General features: G+C 38.3%; 1 long non-coding RNA gene across 1 annotated transcript in view; it reads right to left on the bottom strand.

Annotated features, from left to right (window-relative positions):
- LOC112268063 (uncharacterized) overlaps positions 1-16823 on the bottom strand; it is a 62306-nt gene that overhangs the window by 866 nt on the left and 44617 nt on the right. The gene's annotated exons all lie outside the window — the stretch shown is intronic.

The following is a 16823-nucleotide window of genomic DNA, read 5'->3' as shown; positions in this document are numbered from 1 at the left end:
CAAAGGGGAAAGCAACATATTGAATCAGAAATAGTTTTATTTTTATCAACTGGTGTCACCAAAGAAAAGCAGGTTTCACTAGTGTTGAGAAAATAGAAAGTTTTCTATTGATTATGGAGAAATTTCAATTCAGTTTCTAGAAGGTTAAATGCCCCAATTTCTTTTTTTAATGACTGTGTTAAACTAAATAATGGCCTCCATTATTTCCATATGCAAATCCTCAGAACCTATCACTGTTACGTTATATGGCAAAAGAGAATTTGCAAATGTGATTAAGTTAAGGATCTTGAAATTGGGAGATTATCCTGGGTTATCTGATGTCCCCAATGTAATCACAAGGATCTTTATAAAAAAGGAAATGTGAGACAAAGGGAGAGAAGGTGATGTGATGAAGTAGAGGTCAGAGTGATGCGGGGGCTAGATCCAAGGAATGTGGGCAGCCTCTAGAAGCTGAGACAGACAGGGAAATGGATTCTCCTCCTAGAGCCTCCAGAAGGAAAGCAGCCTTGCCAACCCATTTGAAACTTCTGATCTCCAGATCTATACAACAATACATCTGTGTTGTTTTTTTTTATTTTTATTTTTTTAGGGACAGGTCTTGCTCTGTTGCTCAGGCTAGAGTGCAGTGGCATGGTCTGGGCTCACTACAGCCTCAACCTCCCAGGCTCAAATGATCCTCCTGCCTCAGCCTCCTGAGTAGGTGGAGCTACAGACATGTGCCACCACACCTGGCTAATTTTGTTTTTTATTTTTTGTAGAGATGGGGTCTCACTATGTTGCCCACCCTGGTCTCCAACTCCTGGGCTCAAGCAATCCTCCTGCCTCAGCCTCCCAAAGTGCTGGGCTTATAAGTGTGAGAGTCACAGTTTCTGGCCCATCTGTGTTATTTTAATGTTTAAGTTTGTCATAATCTGTTACAGCAGCAATAAAAAACTAACAAAATGACTAATTTTACTTCCCAACCCATTGTCTCCCTCCCTTAAAATAATTTTATCACAATAGCTATTTTTATATTACAGTCACACACCACATAATGACCTTTTGGTCAATGACAAACTTCATATACAGTGGTAGTTCCTTAAGATTACAGTGGAGCTGAAAAATTTTTATTGCCCAGATATGTCAGAGCTGATCATGGTACAACACATTACTTACATATTTGTGATGATGCTGGTGTAAACGAACCTACTGTGCTGCCAGTCCTATAAAAGTATAGTACATACAATATGTACAGTACATGGTACTTGATAATGATAATAAACGACTGCGTTATGGGTTTATGTACTTGCTATATTATACTTGTCTTATTATTTTAGAGTGTCTTTTTTATACTTAAAAAAAAGTTAACTGCAAAACAGTCCTTCAGGAGGTGTTCCAGATAAGGCATAGTTACCATAGGAGATGGCAGCTCCATGCATGTTACTGCTCCTGAAGACCTTCCAATGGGAGAAGATAGGGAAGTGAAAGACAGTGATATTGAAGACCCTGGCCCTGTGTAGGCCTAGTCTCATGTGTAATGTGTGTTTATGTCTTTTTGTTTTTTGTTTTTTTTTTTTTGAGACTAGGCCTCACTATGTTGGCCCACGCTGGAGTGCAGTGGCTGTTCACAGGTGCAATCATATTGCACTGCAGCCTCGAACTCCTGGCCTTGGACAATCCTCCCACCTCAGCCTTCTGAGTAGCTGGGATTATAGGCTTGCACCATAGCACCTGGCTATGTCTTCATTTTTAAACAAAAAAGTTTGAAAGTAAAAAATAAATAAAAATTTTTAAATAGAAGAAAGCTTATAGGCTGTGTGCAGTGGCTCATACCTGTAATCCCAGCAATTAGGGAGGCTGAGGCAGGCAGATCACTTGAGGCTAGGAGTTTGAGACCAGTCTGGCCCACATGGTGAAACTCTGTCTCTATTAAAAATGCAAAAATTAGCCAGGCATGGTGGCACACTCCTGTGTCCTAAGCTGCTCGAGAGGCTGAGGCATGAGAACTGCTTGAACCCGGGAGGCGGAGCTTGCAGTGAGCAGAGATCCCGCCACTGCACTCCAGCCTGGGCGACAGAGCGAGACTCCGTCTCAAAAAAAAAAAAACCAAAAAAAAAAAAAAAAAAGAAAAGAAAATGAAAAAGAAAAAACCTCACTGTAGCCTCCACCTCCTGGGCTCAAGCAATCCTTGCACCTCAGCCTCCTAAGTAGCTGGGACCACAGGCACACACCACCACACCCAGCTAATTTTTGTTTTTTGTTATTTTTTTTTTGGTACAGACAGGGTTTCATCATGTTGCCCAGGCTGGTCTTGAACTCCTGGGCTCAAGAGATCCTCCTGCCTCTGCCTCCCAAAGTGCTGGGATTACAGGCATGAGCCACTGTGCCTGGCCTAAGTGTACCACTTTATATCTTCTATAGTTTACTTTTACTGTACCTTTTCTACATTTAGGTACACAAATATTGACCATTATGTTACAACTGCTTACAGTATTCAGTACAATAATAGGCTGTCCAGGTTTGCAGCCTAGGAACAATAGACAATGCCATATATAGCCTAGATGTGTTGTAGACTATACCATCTCTGTTTGTGTAAGTGCACAGTATGATGTTTGCACAACGATGGAATCACCTCATGATGAATTTTTCAGACTATATCCTTGTTAAGTAATGCATGACCTTAATCAGGAATGAGTCACAGCAGTATTGTAATCTTGATGAAGATGTTGATGTAGATAATACTCCCATTTACAATGCACTTGCCAAATACAAGGCATTGCACTGAAAGCTTTACATACTTTATTTTAAAAAATTTTACAACCTTTTAGGTAAGTACCATTAACCACTTTTACAGATCAGAAAACAGGGTCTATGAGGTGAAATAATTTGTCATACAGTGGTGATGTAAATATGCATATAATGAAACAGAATAGGCAAGTCAGAAGTGATTTTTGTATTTCTTTTAATAGATTAAGGGTACTTACTATCAGCAAAAGAGTGAAAGTCTGACAGAAAAGAAAAAGATGGAAAGAAATGTGGGGATGTGCAATTCCTTATGTTGGTTGGTTCAGCAGAGCTTTGCCATTGTTCAGATGGAGTTTAGGCAAGCAAAAGACGACCAGCCATTGCTGGGTATTTGAACATCAGATGTTCATAAGGCTTAGGTATTCTTAAAAGAAAAATTTATTCTCTTAAAAATTCTGAAAAAAAGTTCTCTGTATTAAAACTTCATAATGAACATTGCCACACTGTATATTAGGCACAGGTATTATTTGTTGGAGTTTTTGGTAATTGTTATTTTTGTAACTGGAATATTTAATATATGTTTTATATATATTTATTTTATTTATTTATTTTTTGAGATGGAGTCTCACTCTGTCACCCAGGCTGCAGTGAAGTGGCACGATCTTGGCTCACTGCAACCTTTGCCTCCCAGGTTCAAGTGATTCTCCTGCCTCAGCCGCCCGAGTAGCTGGGACTACAGGCACGTGCCACCACGCCCAGCTAATTTTTTGTATTTTTAGTAGAGACGGGGTTTCACTGTGTTAGCCAGGATGGCTTCGATCTCCTGACCTCGTGATCCACCCACCTTGGCCTCCCAAAGTGTTGGGATTACAGGCGTGAGCCACCGCTATATATTTTGCAAACAATAGCAAATCTAGAGGAAATTCTTTGAAGTAAGAAGCAGTGGTACTTAAAACTGGCTACTTGTATTTATCATCTCTGTTTCAGTTTTTTAAGAAATTCAAAATTTTTACAGAGAGTTGATAAAAACATTTGATGATTTGGGGTGCAGATGAAGGATGGCTGGTATTTGAAAAATAAATAAATAAAGGCCTTCCTTGATTCTTAATGTTGAGACTGAAGGCTTCAGTGGAGTTTCTTCCTCAGCCTGAATTCCAGTGATAATGTGTCTGTTCTTGACATGAGCAATAACTGGAGTACTTAGGATTAAACAAAATATTAGATGTGCCGGGCCAGAGGAGGTGAGGAAAGTCTAAAGTGATAAGGTGCTAGTCAGCTCAGAGTGGCTGTTTTAGATAGTGTAATACAGCAGACTAGAAACTTGTCAGAAAGGAAAGGTACCAGGCAGGAGATAAATGTACACCCACCTTAGCTAATGTAAGGAGCTGAAAACTCTATTTTGAATTTTTATCCTAAACATGGAAATAACATCCTTATGAGAAATTGAACACTAAATAGACATATTAAACCAATTTTGCTTATTGAGACATCTGTTCATTCATTTATTCAACAGCTATTTACTGAGTGGATACTTGGTAGTTTTTAGGACTTAGAATTAACCCAAGACAAACTTGTGAGGTAGGAAGTTGCATCTCAGTCATCTCACTACTTTGCTCTTTCTTGAGACTTCAGCCTTCCCTTTCCTCCCTCAGGTTTTGGAGCTTAGAAATTAATAATATTAAAGCTTCAATGACAAGACTGTTTAAAATAAAAAATGGTTGGGCTGGGCACGGTGGCTCATGCCTGTAATCCCAGCACTTCGGGAGGCTGAGGCGCACAGATCACGAGGTCAGGAGATCGAGACCATCCTGGCTAACACGGTGAAACTCCATCTCTACTAAAAATACAAAAAACTAGCTGGGCGTGGTGGCAGGCACCTGCAGTCCCAGCTACTTGGGAGGCTGAGGCAGGAGAATGGCATGAACCCTGGAGGTGGAGCTTGCAGTGAGCTGAGATGGCGCCACTGCACTCCAGCCTGGGCAACAAAGCGAGACTCCGTCTCAAAAAAAAAATAAAATAAAATAAAAAGTAAAATAAAAAAATAAAAAAAAATTGTTGTGTTCAGTGGGAGATAATGTGTTAAGGAAAGAAAGATGTTAAGTTCTACTACTTGTAGATAGGTGGAATTACTGTGTCCTTTGTATTGTTTTTGCTTTCCTGTCATAAGATATTCCTTGGTTTAATACCATAATAAATATATAAAAATACACATAAGAAACTAAACAATAAAAAGAATGTGTTAAATAATTTTTTTTTACCATTTCAGGTTTTTTTTCTTTCTAATTCAGTTAATCAGTCCCGCTTTGCTTGTTTGTCAAGGTTCTTCAACTTGCTTAAAAACTTTTTCAAATTGGTCAAAAATTAATCTTTCAAATTACTACAGGCTTACAAAACTTTTATGCACCATGCAAACATCATGAGATGTAGTATGGGAGGTAAGGAATATTTAACCTGCTTCAAACTTTAAGTATTGGACATTTGGATTGTTTTCCACTTTACCCCGTTACCGACAAAGTGGAGCAGATATAACTGATTAATATTTTTAACCAAATATTTTGACTTAAGTATCGAATTCCTTTGGGGTCTTGAAGGATATAATACACTATGAAAGAAAAGTAGAAGGTGCTGATGATACAACGAATTAGGAGGACCTATTTTGTCGTGGGAACTTTAGAGAAGACTTTTTGAAGAAGAGTCACATGTCCTACCTCAATCAGTCTACAAGCGCAAGGAAACAACTTAGAGTTCGACAAAGTCATATTTATAGATTCATTGCAGTGAGGGAGATCACACACAGAACTGTGAGGCATCTCACTCACCAAACAAGGACAAGATAATCATTACAGGATTTGGGGGAAGAGTAGAGTTTGGGTGAGATTTAATTGAAACCATTTAAGTGGCTTTTGATGAACTCAAAGCAAATCAGGAGTCAACATCAGGTCTGGGCAGGATCCAGGGTTCTGCTTCCTTGAAAACTAGAAAGTTAAGACAGATATGGATTATTGTGTCCAGAAGCCCTTTTCTTAAGCTCTGTGGCTGGAATGGAAATGGAGGCTGATTCTCTGTGTCAAAGTGTTTTAGAGTCTCCAAGACACTATGATGTTTTATGTTATAATAATATAATTTCAAACGACAACGTTTCTTTTCTAATAGCATATAATTTTAAAGAACAAAGTTTCTTAGCAAGTAAGAAAACAGTAATCACTCAAAGAATGGGGTTGTTATGAAGCTTTATCGCATGTCTTTGGGATAACTAGTTTCCCGTAAACTTTGCAGCTAGTTTTATCAATGTTTATTAATCCAGCTTGATGAGTGATGGAACAGATTTTTACTTTCTAAGTCCTAGCAAAAGCTTCCCCTAAAAAGAGAGAACCAACCAAGAGACAGGGGAAAATAACTTTCTGGAAAGAACAAAAAAACAAGCATGAAGGTTGTGAGCTGGTTCTGGACACATTTAAGACCCTAAAAACCAATAGGACAATAACACAGGCAACAAATGATTTGAAATGATGGAGAGATAGGGGCAGATCTTTCAGGAAGCTGCTAGCCTTAGTTAGGATTTTGCATTTCATCAAAGAGTAGAGGGAAGTCACTAAAGGATTCTAATCAGGGGAATTACCGAATCTTCATCTTCTAAGATAGAGAATGCATTGTCATAGGCAATAGTGGAAGGTAGATGACCGTTTGGAAAGTTGTTGCAAGAGAGGATGATAGTTTATACTAGGGTGGCAGCAGTAAAGAAGGCAGAAATGGAGAGATTCAAGACAAAATTTTAGGTAGAACCAAATGGTCTTAGTGAGAGTTTGAATGTGTAACATGAGGGAGATGGAGTCAGGGATAATATCCAGGTTCTGGCTTGAATATCCGAGTAGAAGGTGGCATCATTAGGATGTGGAAGACTGGAGGTGAGGCAGGATTGATGGAAAAGAACAAGTACAGCTGTAGACATCTTACATTTGTGCGGCATTTAAGTAAGAATGCCTTGAAAGCATTTGGGTATTTGGATCTGAGGTTGAGAAGAGAGGTTTGAGTTGGTGCTAAATATGGAGTCATAAGTATATATTCAAAGCCATGGGAAAAAAAGTAACATGAGAAGAGAAAAAGGATTAGGACCAAGTCTAAAGGAACTACCAAATCCAGAGGTGAACAGGAGGACAGGAGCCAGCAAGGAAGCCCAGGCACCATGAAGATGGCTGAATTCACTTATGAAAAGCTTGGTTTGATGCTTTGATGTTAACTCAGTTGTACTTGTCATCAATTTCTTAGAGAATCGAGAGCTGAAACATATTCTGAACTGCCTTCTATTTTTATTCACTGCTTTGTATTATCTGTAGTCATCTAGTTAGACAATTCCTTTCCTGCAATGCCTGTGATGGAAGCCAGGAAGCATTTATTTCTTTGTGAAGCATTTGGAAAATATAAACATGGCCGGGCGCGGTGGCTCATGCCTGTAATCTCAGAACTTTGGGAGGCCGAGGTGGGCGGATCACGAGTTCAGGGGATGGAGACCATCCTGGCTAACACGGTGAAACCCCGTCTCTACTAAAAAAATACAAAAAAGTTAGCTGGGCATGGTGGTGGGCGCCTGTAGTCCCAGCTACTCGGGAGCCTGAGGCAGGAGAATGGCGTGAACCTGGGAGGCGGAGTTTGCAGTGAGCCGAGATCGCGCCACTGCACTCCAGCCTGGGCGACAGAGCGAGACTCTGTCTCAAAAAAAAAAAAAGAAAAATATAAACATGCAAATGACATCTTATCACAGCACTGAACAGATGTTTTAAATTGTATTTATTTATTTATTTATTTATTTAGACGAAGTCTCGCTCTGTTGCCCAGGCTGGAGTGCAGTGGCGCGATCTCGGCTCACCGAAACCTCCACCTCCTAGGTTCAAGCGATTCTCCTGCCTCAGCCTCCCGAGTAGCTGGGACTACAGGCACGTGCCAACATGCCCGGCTAATTTTTGTATTTTTAGTAGAGACAGGGTTTCACCATATTGGCCACCGTCTTGGCCAGGCTGGTCTCGAACTCCTGACCTTGTGATCTGCCCACCTCGGCCTCCCAAAGTTCTGGAGGCGTGAGCCACCGCGCCAGGCCATTTTTAATTTTATTTTAAGCCTGTGTTCTAACCACATCATTTACCTGCAGGTCCTTGGATACAATATGTACTTTTGAGTCTGAGTCTGTGCTCACGTTGTTCCTTCTGCTTAGAATGGCCTCTCTTTCCCCTTCTCTACCTAATCAAGTCCTACTTAACTTTTAAAACCCAGCTCTAGTGGCATGCTCCTCTCTGAGCCTTTTGTTGTTCTAATAAGGCGTAACTAATCACTCCTCCTAAATACACTCACAGTATCCAGCTCATTCCATTAGTACAGATCTTTTCATGTTTTACTTTGCTAAGGTATAGACAAATATATCTGTCTCTACCATTGGACTGTAAGGTTCTTAAGTGACCATGAGTTATTCAACTTTACGTCCCTCATACAGAGAACAAATCTTGTTGAATTTACTTGCATGTAATTGGAGATGACATGGCAAAGAATAATGTGGATATACCCTGCTCAGCTTCAGATAAACGCTATGACATATGTAAACAAAATATTCAGCTAACTTTTAAACTTTACATCCAATTTTGACTTATATAGGATGTAAACTGCATACATGTACATATGCTTCAGACCTTTGAACATGCTGCTTTCTGTCTGGCATATGCCCCTATCTTCTCTCTCCCACACAAGTCCACCCATCTCTCAATTTTAGTTTATAGGCTTTTTTTTTTTTTTTTTTTTTGAGACAGATTCTTGCTCTGTCGCCCAGACTAGAGTGCAGTGGTACAATCTCGGCTCACTGCAACAACCACCTCCCAGATTCAAACGATTCTCGTGCCTCAGCCTGCCGAATAGTTGGGATTACAAGTGTGTGCCGCCACGCCCATCTAATTTTTTCTATTTTTAGTAGAGATGGAGTTTCACTGTGCTGGTCAGGCTGATCTTGAACTCCTGGGCTCAGGTGATCCACCTGCCTCGGCCTCCCAAAGTAAGCCCAGCCATTTTTTTTTTAAGAGATAATATCTCAGTCTGTGACAGACTGGAGTACAATGGCGCTATCAATTTTAGTTCTAACTAAACTGTCAACAAAATCTTTGACTACCTTCTCTCTCTACCTCAAGATAGCTTGCTCAATTGCAATGTCACCCTGCACTCTCATTTTACAACACACATCATCTTTTAGTTTCTCAGTAAGTGTTGCTTTCTCTCTACAACTGAAAGCTCCAGGAGGCAGGGACAAAACCTGTAGTTTTTCTTTTCTTTTTTTCTTTTTTCAGCAAAGGGAGGGCTGATTTTTTAACTTTTTGAAAATAGATGAAAGTAAACAATAAAATAATAAAACCTCACATGCCATCGCTCAGCCTCAGTAACCATCAACCCATGGCCAATCCTGTCCCTACTGCAACCCTGCCCATTCCCTACACTCACACATTATTTTGAAGTAAGTCCCAGACAACACATGATTTTATTTGTAAATATTTCAGTCTGTTTCTGAAATGACTCCTTTTTGTAACATAACCACAATGTCATTATTACACCTAAGAATGAATAATACCTCTTTAATATCATCAACTATCCAGGCAGAATTCAGATTTTTAATTATCTCTTTCAGATAATCTTTTTAATGTCTTTTCTTGAATCAGGATACAAACAAGGTTCACACATTGAGATTGGCTGGTAGTCTATTGTCTCTTTTTACCTACCGATTCACCTTCTATTTTTTCTTTTTGTTTCATCACTTATAAATATAAATACTATTTTTTTAATAGCTATGTCTCCAGTTCCTCACCCAGTCTTGGTCATAGCAGGTTTTAGATAAATATTGTATTTAATGAATAAATGAATGAATACAAGTAATGCATAATTGAGAAATCTCAGGAGATACCAAAAGAAATGTAATTTAATAATAATCTTTGATTTCTCTGATCTCATATTTCTTCAATGTTCTCTAAATTTAAAATTTTATTTGATACATAATAAATGCATACTTTTGAGGCAGAAAGTATTATTCTCTGAAACATTTCTAAGAAATTAATTTACCCTGGAATTGTCATAATTAGTTAATTTTAACTACTTCCCCTATATAAAATTGGTGACTTGGGCAGCAAGACAAAAAAGGTTTCTATTGTTAAGTAAGACTTATTTTTCTTCCTCAAGAAATCATCACTAGTAAGCATTGCAACCTTTACTTTGCTATTGTTAGATGTGGCAACAACTCGTGCTGGACTCGAGAAAATTGTGCAAGCTTGAATTAAATAATTGCTTCTAAATTTGCTTATAAGGAAGTTTATTGTCTTACCAGGGACTAACACTACAAATATGGAAATGGAGTCAAGCAGTGATTCAATGTAGATAACATAATTGGAAACTGGGAGAAAGAATGTTCATTCAACAATCGAGAAAAACTAAAATAAAAGTTAAACTTTACTTCATCAATGCTGGGTCCAAATTAATTAATGAAAACAGAAATAAAACTATGCTTCCTAGGATAATATTGACAGTATTTTTAAAAGTTTATTATTTTTTAAAAAGATTATTATATGAAGAGTAAAAGTCTTTCTATCTCTCTAGCCTCCCTTATTCAGATTTTCAGAGGTAAAAGCATTGTTTCTTATATATCCAGGCATTTTCCTATCAGAATGTCCAACATATGTATATTTATATATAGTCATGCACCTCATAATTACATTTAGGTCAATGGCAGGCCACATGTATGATAGTGGGTGGTCCCATAAGATTATAATTGAACTGAAAATTTCCTATCATGTAGTGACATGGTAGCTTTCATAACCTGGTAACACAGCGTATTGCTCACAGGATTATAGTGATGCAATGCAGACAAACCTACTGCACTGTCAGCTATGTAAAAGTATGGCACATACAATTATGTACAGTACATAATACTTAATAATGATAATAAGTGACTATGTTACTGGTTTATGTATTTACTATACTATACTTTTTATCATTATTCTAGAGTGTACTCCTTCTACTTATTAAAAAAAAGTTAACTGTAAAACAACCCCATGAAGAGTAATATATTCTAGATACACTTCTGTACTTGCCTTTCACACAGTTGATCATGTTGTTCAAATTGTCCAGATTTGGGCATTAGTAGCTCCTTTAAGTTGGCTCCGACGTCTTGTAGACTTGGCCCCCATTATTTTGTGAACATGTCTTTACTTTCTGGCACTTTAAATGGTCTAAGCTCATCTTGCATTCCTCCTGCTCTAGTCTGGACTCAGTCATTTCCCCAAGGAGCTCTGGTTCCTTTCATCGAGAATGGTATTTAGAAACCAAGATCTGGAAACTAGTTGTGCTCATTGCTACTGGGATCTCACTGCATGTATATCCATGAATTCACACTGATATTCCTGCTCTGATTTCAATCTGGAGTTTGTGCTACTTCACAATTTCTCTATTTTAACTCTTTTATCTGACAGAAAACTGGCTCTCAATATCCACAGTGTATTTCTTAATTACTCAATCCTAGTACATACATAAAGTAGTTTCAGAAATACTAACCCATACCCTATGAAAAACAAATTTACTAAAGTACAAAATTTTCATACAGTTCTTTCTGTTTTTAGCCTTCTAGTATATGGTTAAAATAATGTTCTCCAGGTTATGTTAGATAATTCTTTTATTTTTTATCCCATTTAGTATAATTATGTCATTTATTTGTAATACAGTTGGGCTTATTTGTTACTGCTTATATTCCATTTTGGGTCTTCCCTTCCCCAACATCCTGGTTAATTTTAATTATTTATTTTTTGGGGGGGTGAAACATTACCATATTTATAGGAATTAGAGCTATGCATATAGGAATACTCTGAGTGTGTCACATCTCTCTAATCATTTCTACCCATTTTTATTCCCCAATTTTTCCACACTGATCCTACTTAACCTCTGTAGGTGACGAATCTCATTTGTTTCTAGTTTAACTTTCCAGTATGTTTTTCCTCATATATGTGGATATATGTATATTTTCTTATATATACTTCTTTCTTACATGAAGAGTAGTATACTCTAGATATTCTTCTGTACTTTGCTTTCCACATAAAAATATACCTTGGAAATCTCTGAATATGAATCCATAGAGCTCTTCCTCATTTATTTTATAGCTGCATAGTGCTCTCCTGTGTGAATTATTAGAGTTTATTTAAAAACCACTGTTCTATATATGAGTATTTGTTTCTTAAATTTAGCAATTATATATAATCTTACAATGAATAAACTTGTACATATGTTTTTCATATTGTTGGATATGTATCTTCAGGGTAGATTTTATAAGTGAGATTATAGGGCTCCTTATGTAGTTATATTAGGTATTGCCAAGTTTCCCTTGAGAAGGGTTGTAGCAGTTTGTATTCCTTAACAGCAATGAAAAGAGTGATTATTTTCCTAAGATCTGGCTAACAAAATGTGTTGTCATATTTTAATTTAGTACATTTTATTAGTTAAAATTTTATTTTAATTTTTACCCATCTGATAGGTGAGAAATAATAGCTTAGCATTTTTTTAATCTGCATTTTTCTAGTTATGAATTTGCACTTTACAGGTATATATATGTATTTTTCTTTTTAAAAAATTGTATTTTAAGTTCTGGGGTACATGTGCAGGACATGCAGGTTTATTACGTAGGTAAATGTGTGCCACGGTGGTTTGCTGCACCTACTAACCCATCACCTAGGTATCAAGCCCTGCATGCATTAGCTATTTATCCTGATGCTCTCCCTCTTCCCAACCCGCTGACAGGCCCGAGTGTGTGTTATTTCCCTCCCTGTGTCCATGTGTTCTCAATGTTCAGCTCACACTTATGAGTGAGAAACATGAGGTGCTTGGTTTTCTGTTCCTGTGTTAGTTTGCTGAGGATGATGGCTTCCAGCTTCATCTGTGTCCCTGCAAAGGACATGATCTCTTTCCTTTCTTTGGTTGCATAATATTCCATGGTGTATATGTACCACATTTTCTTTATCCAGTCTACCATTGATGGACATTTGGGTTGATTCCATGTCCTTGCTCCTGTGAATAGTGCTGCAGTAAACATACACATGCATGTATCTTTATAATAGAATGATTTATATTCCTTTTGGTATATACACAGTAATGGGATTGCTGGGTCAAATGGTATTTCTGGTTCTAGATCCTTGAGGAATCACCACACTGTCTTCCACAATGCTTGTACTAATTTACATTCCCACCAACAGTGTAAAAGCATTCCTTTTTCTCCACAGCCTCGCCAGCATCTATTGTTTCTTGACTTTGAAAAGTGATTATATGTGTATTTATGGATCACTTTTTCAACAGCCTTGTTAAGGTTGTGGAGACAAAAACCACCCCATCTTGGACGCTAATCCACCATGTTGACTTCTGATTAGACCCAGTCCCATGAATAACTTCTGGTTTCTACTTTATTTACTGTCCCTAGTATAAGATCAAAACAACCCTGATGTTATCACACAAATTATAGGCTAGGACACACATAGCATTTTCGCCTGTTCTGGAGGGTTGCCTTTAATCGTTTTGCTGGAGCATGTGTACCCTTTCCATATGGTACACAAACCTTGGGTCTGGGAAATAACAGTGTGGAGATCTACCTGTCTTGCAGTCATCCAAGATCACACTTCTGTCCATAAGTTCCTCAATAAATCACCCATTACTGACGAACTGGATTTGTTCACTTCCTTCTTTGGTTTCTGGGCTTCTTCAGCATTTGGGAATAGCTTTGTGTGCACAGCCTTTTCACAGAACAAAGATATGACCTACTTTCTGTTTCTATAGAGTTGTTAAAGCCATTTGTGTGTCTCTGTGTGTGTGTGTGTGTGTGTGTGTGTGAATTGTCTATTGATGCCCTTTTCCCATTTTTTCTAATGGGTGCTTGATCTCTTAATTTCTAACAATTATTTACATATTAGGAATATTAGCCCTTTTCCTGTAATATATGTTGAAAGCATGTTTTTAACCTGGTTGTCAGTTGTCTTTTGACTTTGTTTATGATATTTATCATGCAGTTTATTTTTATGTTACTAGATTCATCAGTCTTTTATACATGGCTTTTAGATTTAGATTTATAACCATTGCCAACTGCTGGCTCCTCCAGAAACCACCAAAATGGTTTACTGATGAACAAAAACCAAGTTTATTGCTCACTGCAGTAAGGAAGATGACTGTCTTCACATAATCTTAGTAGCCTCAGAAAAGGGAGTCAAGGGTGGGATATTTGTAAGCTTTGGGGAGTCTGGTTCTAAGGTATGTCTTTCAATATGAGGTGTGCAGTCCTGACTGGGATAGGGTAAAGTTTGGATTGCTGGATACAGTGAGGCAAGACCTATAAAGCCAGCCTTGAAAGGTAAACAGTCACTTGAAAACCCAGTTGAGTGATCTACTGTTCTGAAAAGAAGGCTGTTTAGCCCGATGAGGCTGTATGAGTACAGATACATAGATCGGAAAGTTTCCAAGACAAAAAAGTAATTTGCAACTTTACTTTCTTAGGCAAGGATTTCTTGGAATAGTAAAGTCATCTTAGTGCAGACAGTTCCTAATCTTTTTATTTTTTATTTTTAGAGACATAGTCTCTCTCCATCCATTAGGTTGGAATTCAGTGTTGTGATCATAACTCACTGAAATCATAAGCTGGAATGCCTGGGCCCAAGTGATCCTTCCACCGCAGCCTCCCAAGTAGCTAGGGCTACAAGCACATGCCACCATGCCCAGCTAATTTTTAATCTTCTTATATAGAGACAGATTCTTGTTATGTTGGCAAGACTGGTTTTGAACTCCTGGTCTCAAGTAATCTTCCTGCCTTGGCCTCCCAAAGTGCTAGGATTACAGGTATGAGCCACCATGCCCAACCAAACAGTTCCTAATCTTTTTAAGCTGTGTGGCTTCAGGTTGCTTTTGTTCTCAACATATCCTCTATAAGATTCCTACCATTGGCTGCGTGTGGAGGCTCACACCTGTAATCCCAGCATTTTGGGAGGCCAAAGCGGGTGGATCACCTGAGGTCAGGAGTTCAAGACCAGCCTGGTCAACATGGTGAAACCCCGTCTCTACTAAAAATACAAAAAATTAGCCAGGCATGGTGGCAGATGCCTGTAATCCCAGCTACTTGGGAGGCTGAGGCGGGAGAATTGCTTGAACCCGGGAGGCAGAGGTTGCAGTGAGCCATAAGCCAAGATCCCACCATTGCACTCAAGCCTGGGTGACAGAGCGAGACTCTGCCTCAAAAAAAAAAAAAAAAAAAAAAATCCTATCATCTCTTTTATCTTCAGGTCATCTTTTTCTATTTTGATGTGTAAATTCTAGTTCTATGTTCTTTTAGTTTTCTGCAAAAGAGTACATGGGGATATATTTATAAATGCATGCATATTCAAAAATTTTCTTCTGCCCTTACACGTAAATGATAATGTGAATTTCATTTAGGATTTTTGAATCATATTTTTGTACAATATTTTCATACAGTTCTTTATGTTGAAGGGGTTCCTGTAGCAGCCTGCATTTTCTTCTGCAGTACTTACCACAATCAGAAGTTACGCTCCATCAAAGCAGTGAGTATCAGGTTCATACACTGCTATATTCCCAATGCCTAGAAAAATGCCTGACATATGATAATACCTCAGTAAACATTTGTCAATAAATAAGTGAATGAGGGGCGGGTGCAGTGGCTCACACTTGTAATCGACACTTTGGGAGGCCAAGGCAGGAGGATCGCTTCAACTCAGGAGTTCAAGACCAGCCTGGACAACATAGTGAGATCCCATCTCTACAAAAAATAAAATAATTGGCCATGTGTGGTGGTGCATGACTGTGGTCCCAGCTACTCAGGAGGCTGAAGTGGGAGGACTGTTTGAGCCCAGGAGGTGGAGGCTGCAGTGAGCCATGATTGCACCACTGTACTCCAGCCTGGGTAACAGAGCAAGTCTCTGTCTCAACAACTAGAAAAGAAAAGAATAAATGAATGAATTAGAGGTTGTATATGTAATGTATTTCTTCTCCTCTGGACTATAAACTTAACAGAAAGAGGAATCTTCTACATTGTTTGCCTCTTGTGTTTCACAACACAGTATCTGCCTCATAAAGATGTTGCATACATTTTTGTAAGCCAGTATATGTTTGCATAAGTGAAATTCAGTAAAATGCATTCCGGTAAGACTCAAGTAGAAACTAATTGTATATTCTTCTTCCTTCCTTTCCTTTTCCTTTTCCTTTTCTTTGTCTTACTCTTTCTGTTACCCAGGCTGGAGTGCGGTGGCCTGATCACAGCTCACTGCAGCCTTGACCCCACTAGGCTCAGGTAATTTTTCCACCTCAGCTTTCTGAGTAGCTGGGACTACAGGCACACACCACCACACCTGGCTAATTTTTATACTTTTTCTACAAAAATACAAGGTTTTGCCATATTGCCCAGTCTGGTCTTCAACTCCTGAGCTCAAGTGATCCACCTGCCTTGGCCTCCAAAAGTGCTAGGACTACAGTTGTGAGCCACTGTGCCCAGCCTAATTACATATTCTTATTTCAAGACCTCTTTGAAGATAAACCTTTAGTGCTAAATAATCATTCAGTATCATATCCTCTCAGCTTCTAGGACCAAATATTTGGCTTATCTCAACAACATGTATTCAGAATGCCCAATTCAATCTTGTCTTTGCAGAAAAAATCATTTTCTCTTATACACGATCCCAAAATATGCAAGAAAATATACATATTTTTCTCTTCTCCCCCTTGTTTCATAAACTGGTGTTGAGTTTTTAATTTTTATTGATGGTTTGGAATTTATAATGAAAATGAAAATGCTGATGAGGTCTTTGGCTGTAGTAACAAGAAGTACTACAGATGACTCAGAGAATAAAGCTGCCTCACATTACATTAAAACTCATCTCTTGGAAAATGGTGTAAATGGTTGACTGGAGATGAAGGTAATTTATCAATTTATGTGGTTGAGGCATATTACATGATCTTAACTTTCATAAAATTAAATCTGAATATATAACAATTTGAAATACCTTAATGCTAAGCCTTATCATTTGGCGAAGCCCCTTTTATCAAATTGAAAC

This window comes from Homo sapiens, chromosome 10, assembly GCF_000001405.40.
Source record: "Homo sapiens chromosome 10, GRCh38.p14 Primary Assembly".
Lineage (NCBI taxonomy): Eukaryota > Metazoa > Chordata > Mammalia > Primates > Hominidae > Homo > Homo sapiens.
The sequence above is the reverse complement of the archived record's forward strand: the minus strand, read 5'-3'. Positions and strand labels throughout refer to the sequence as shown.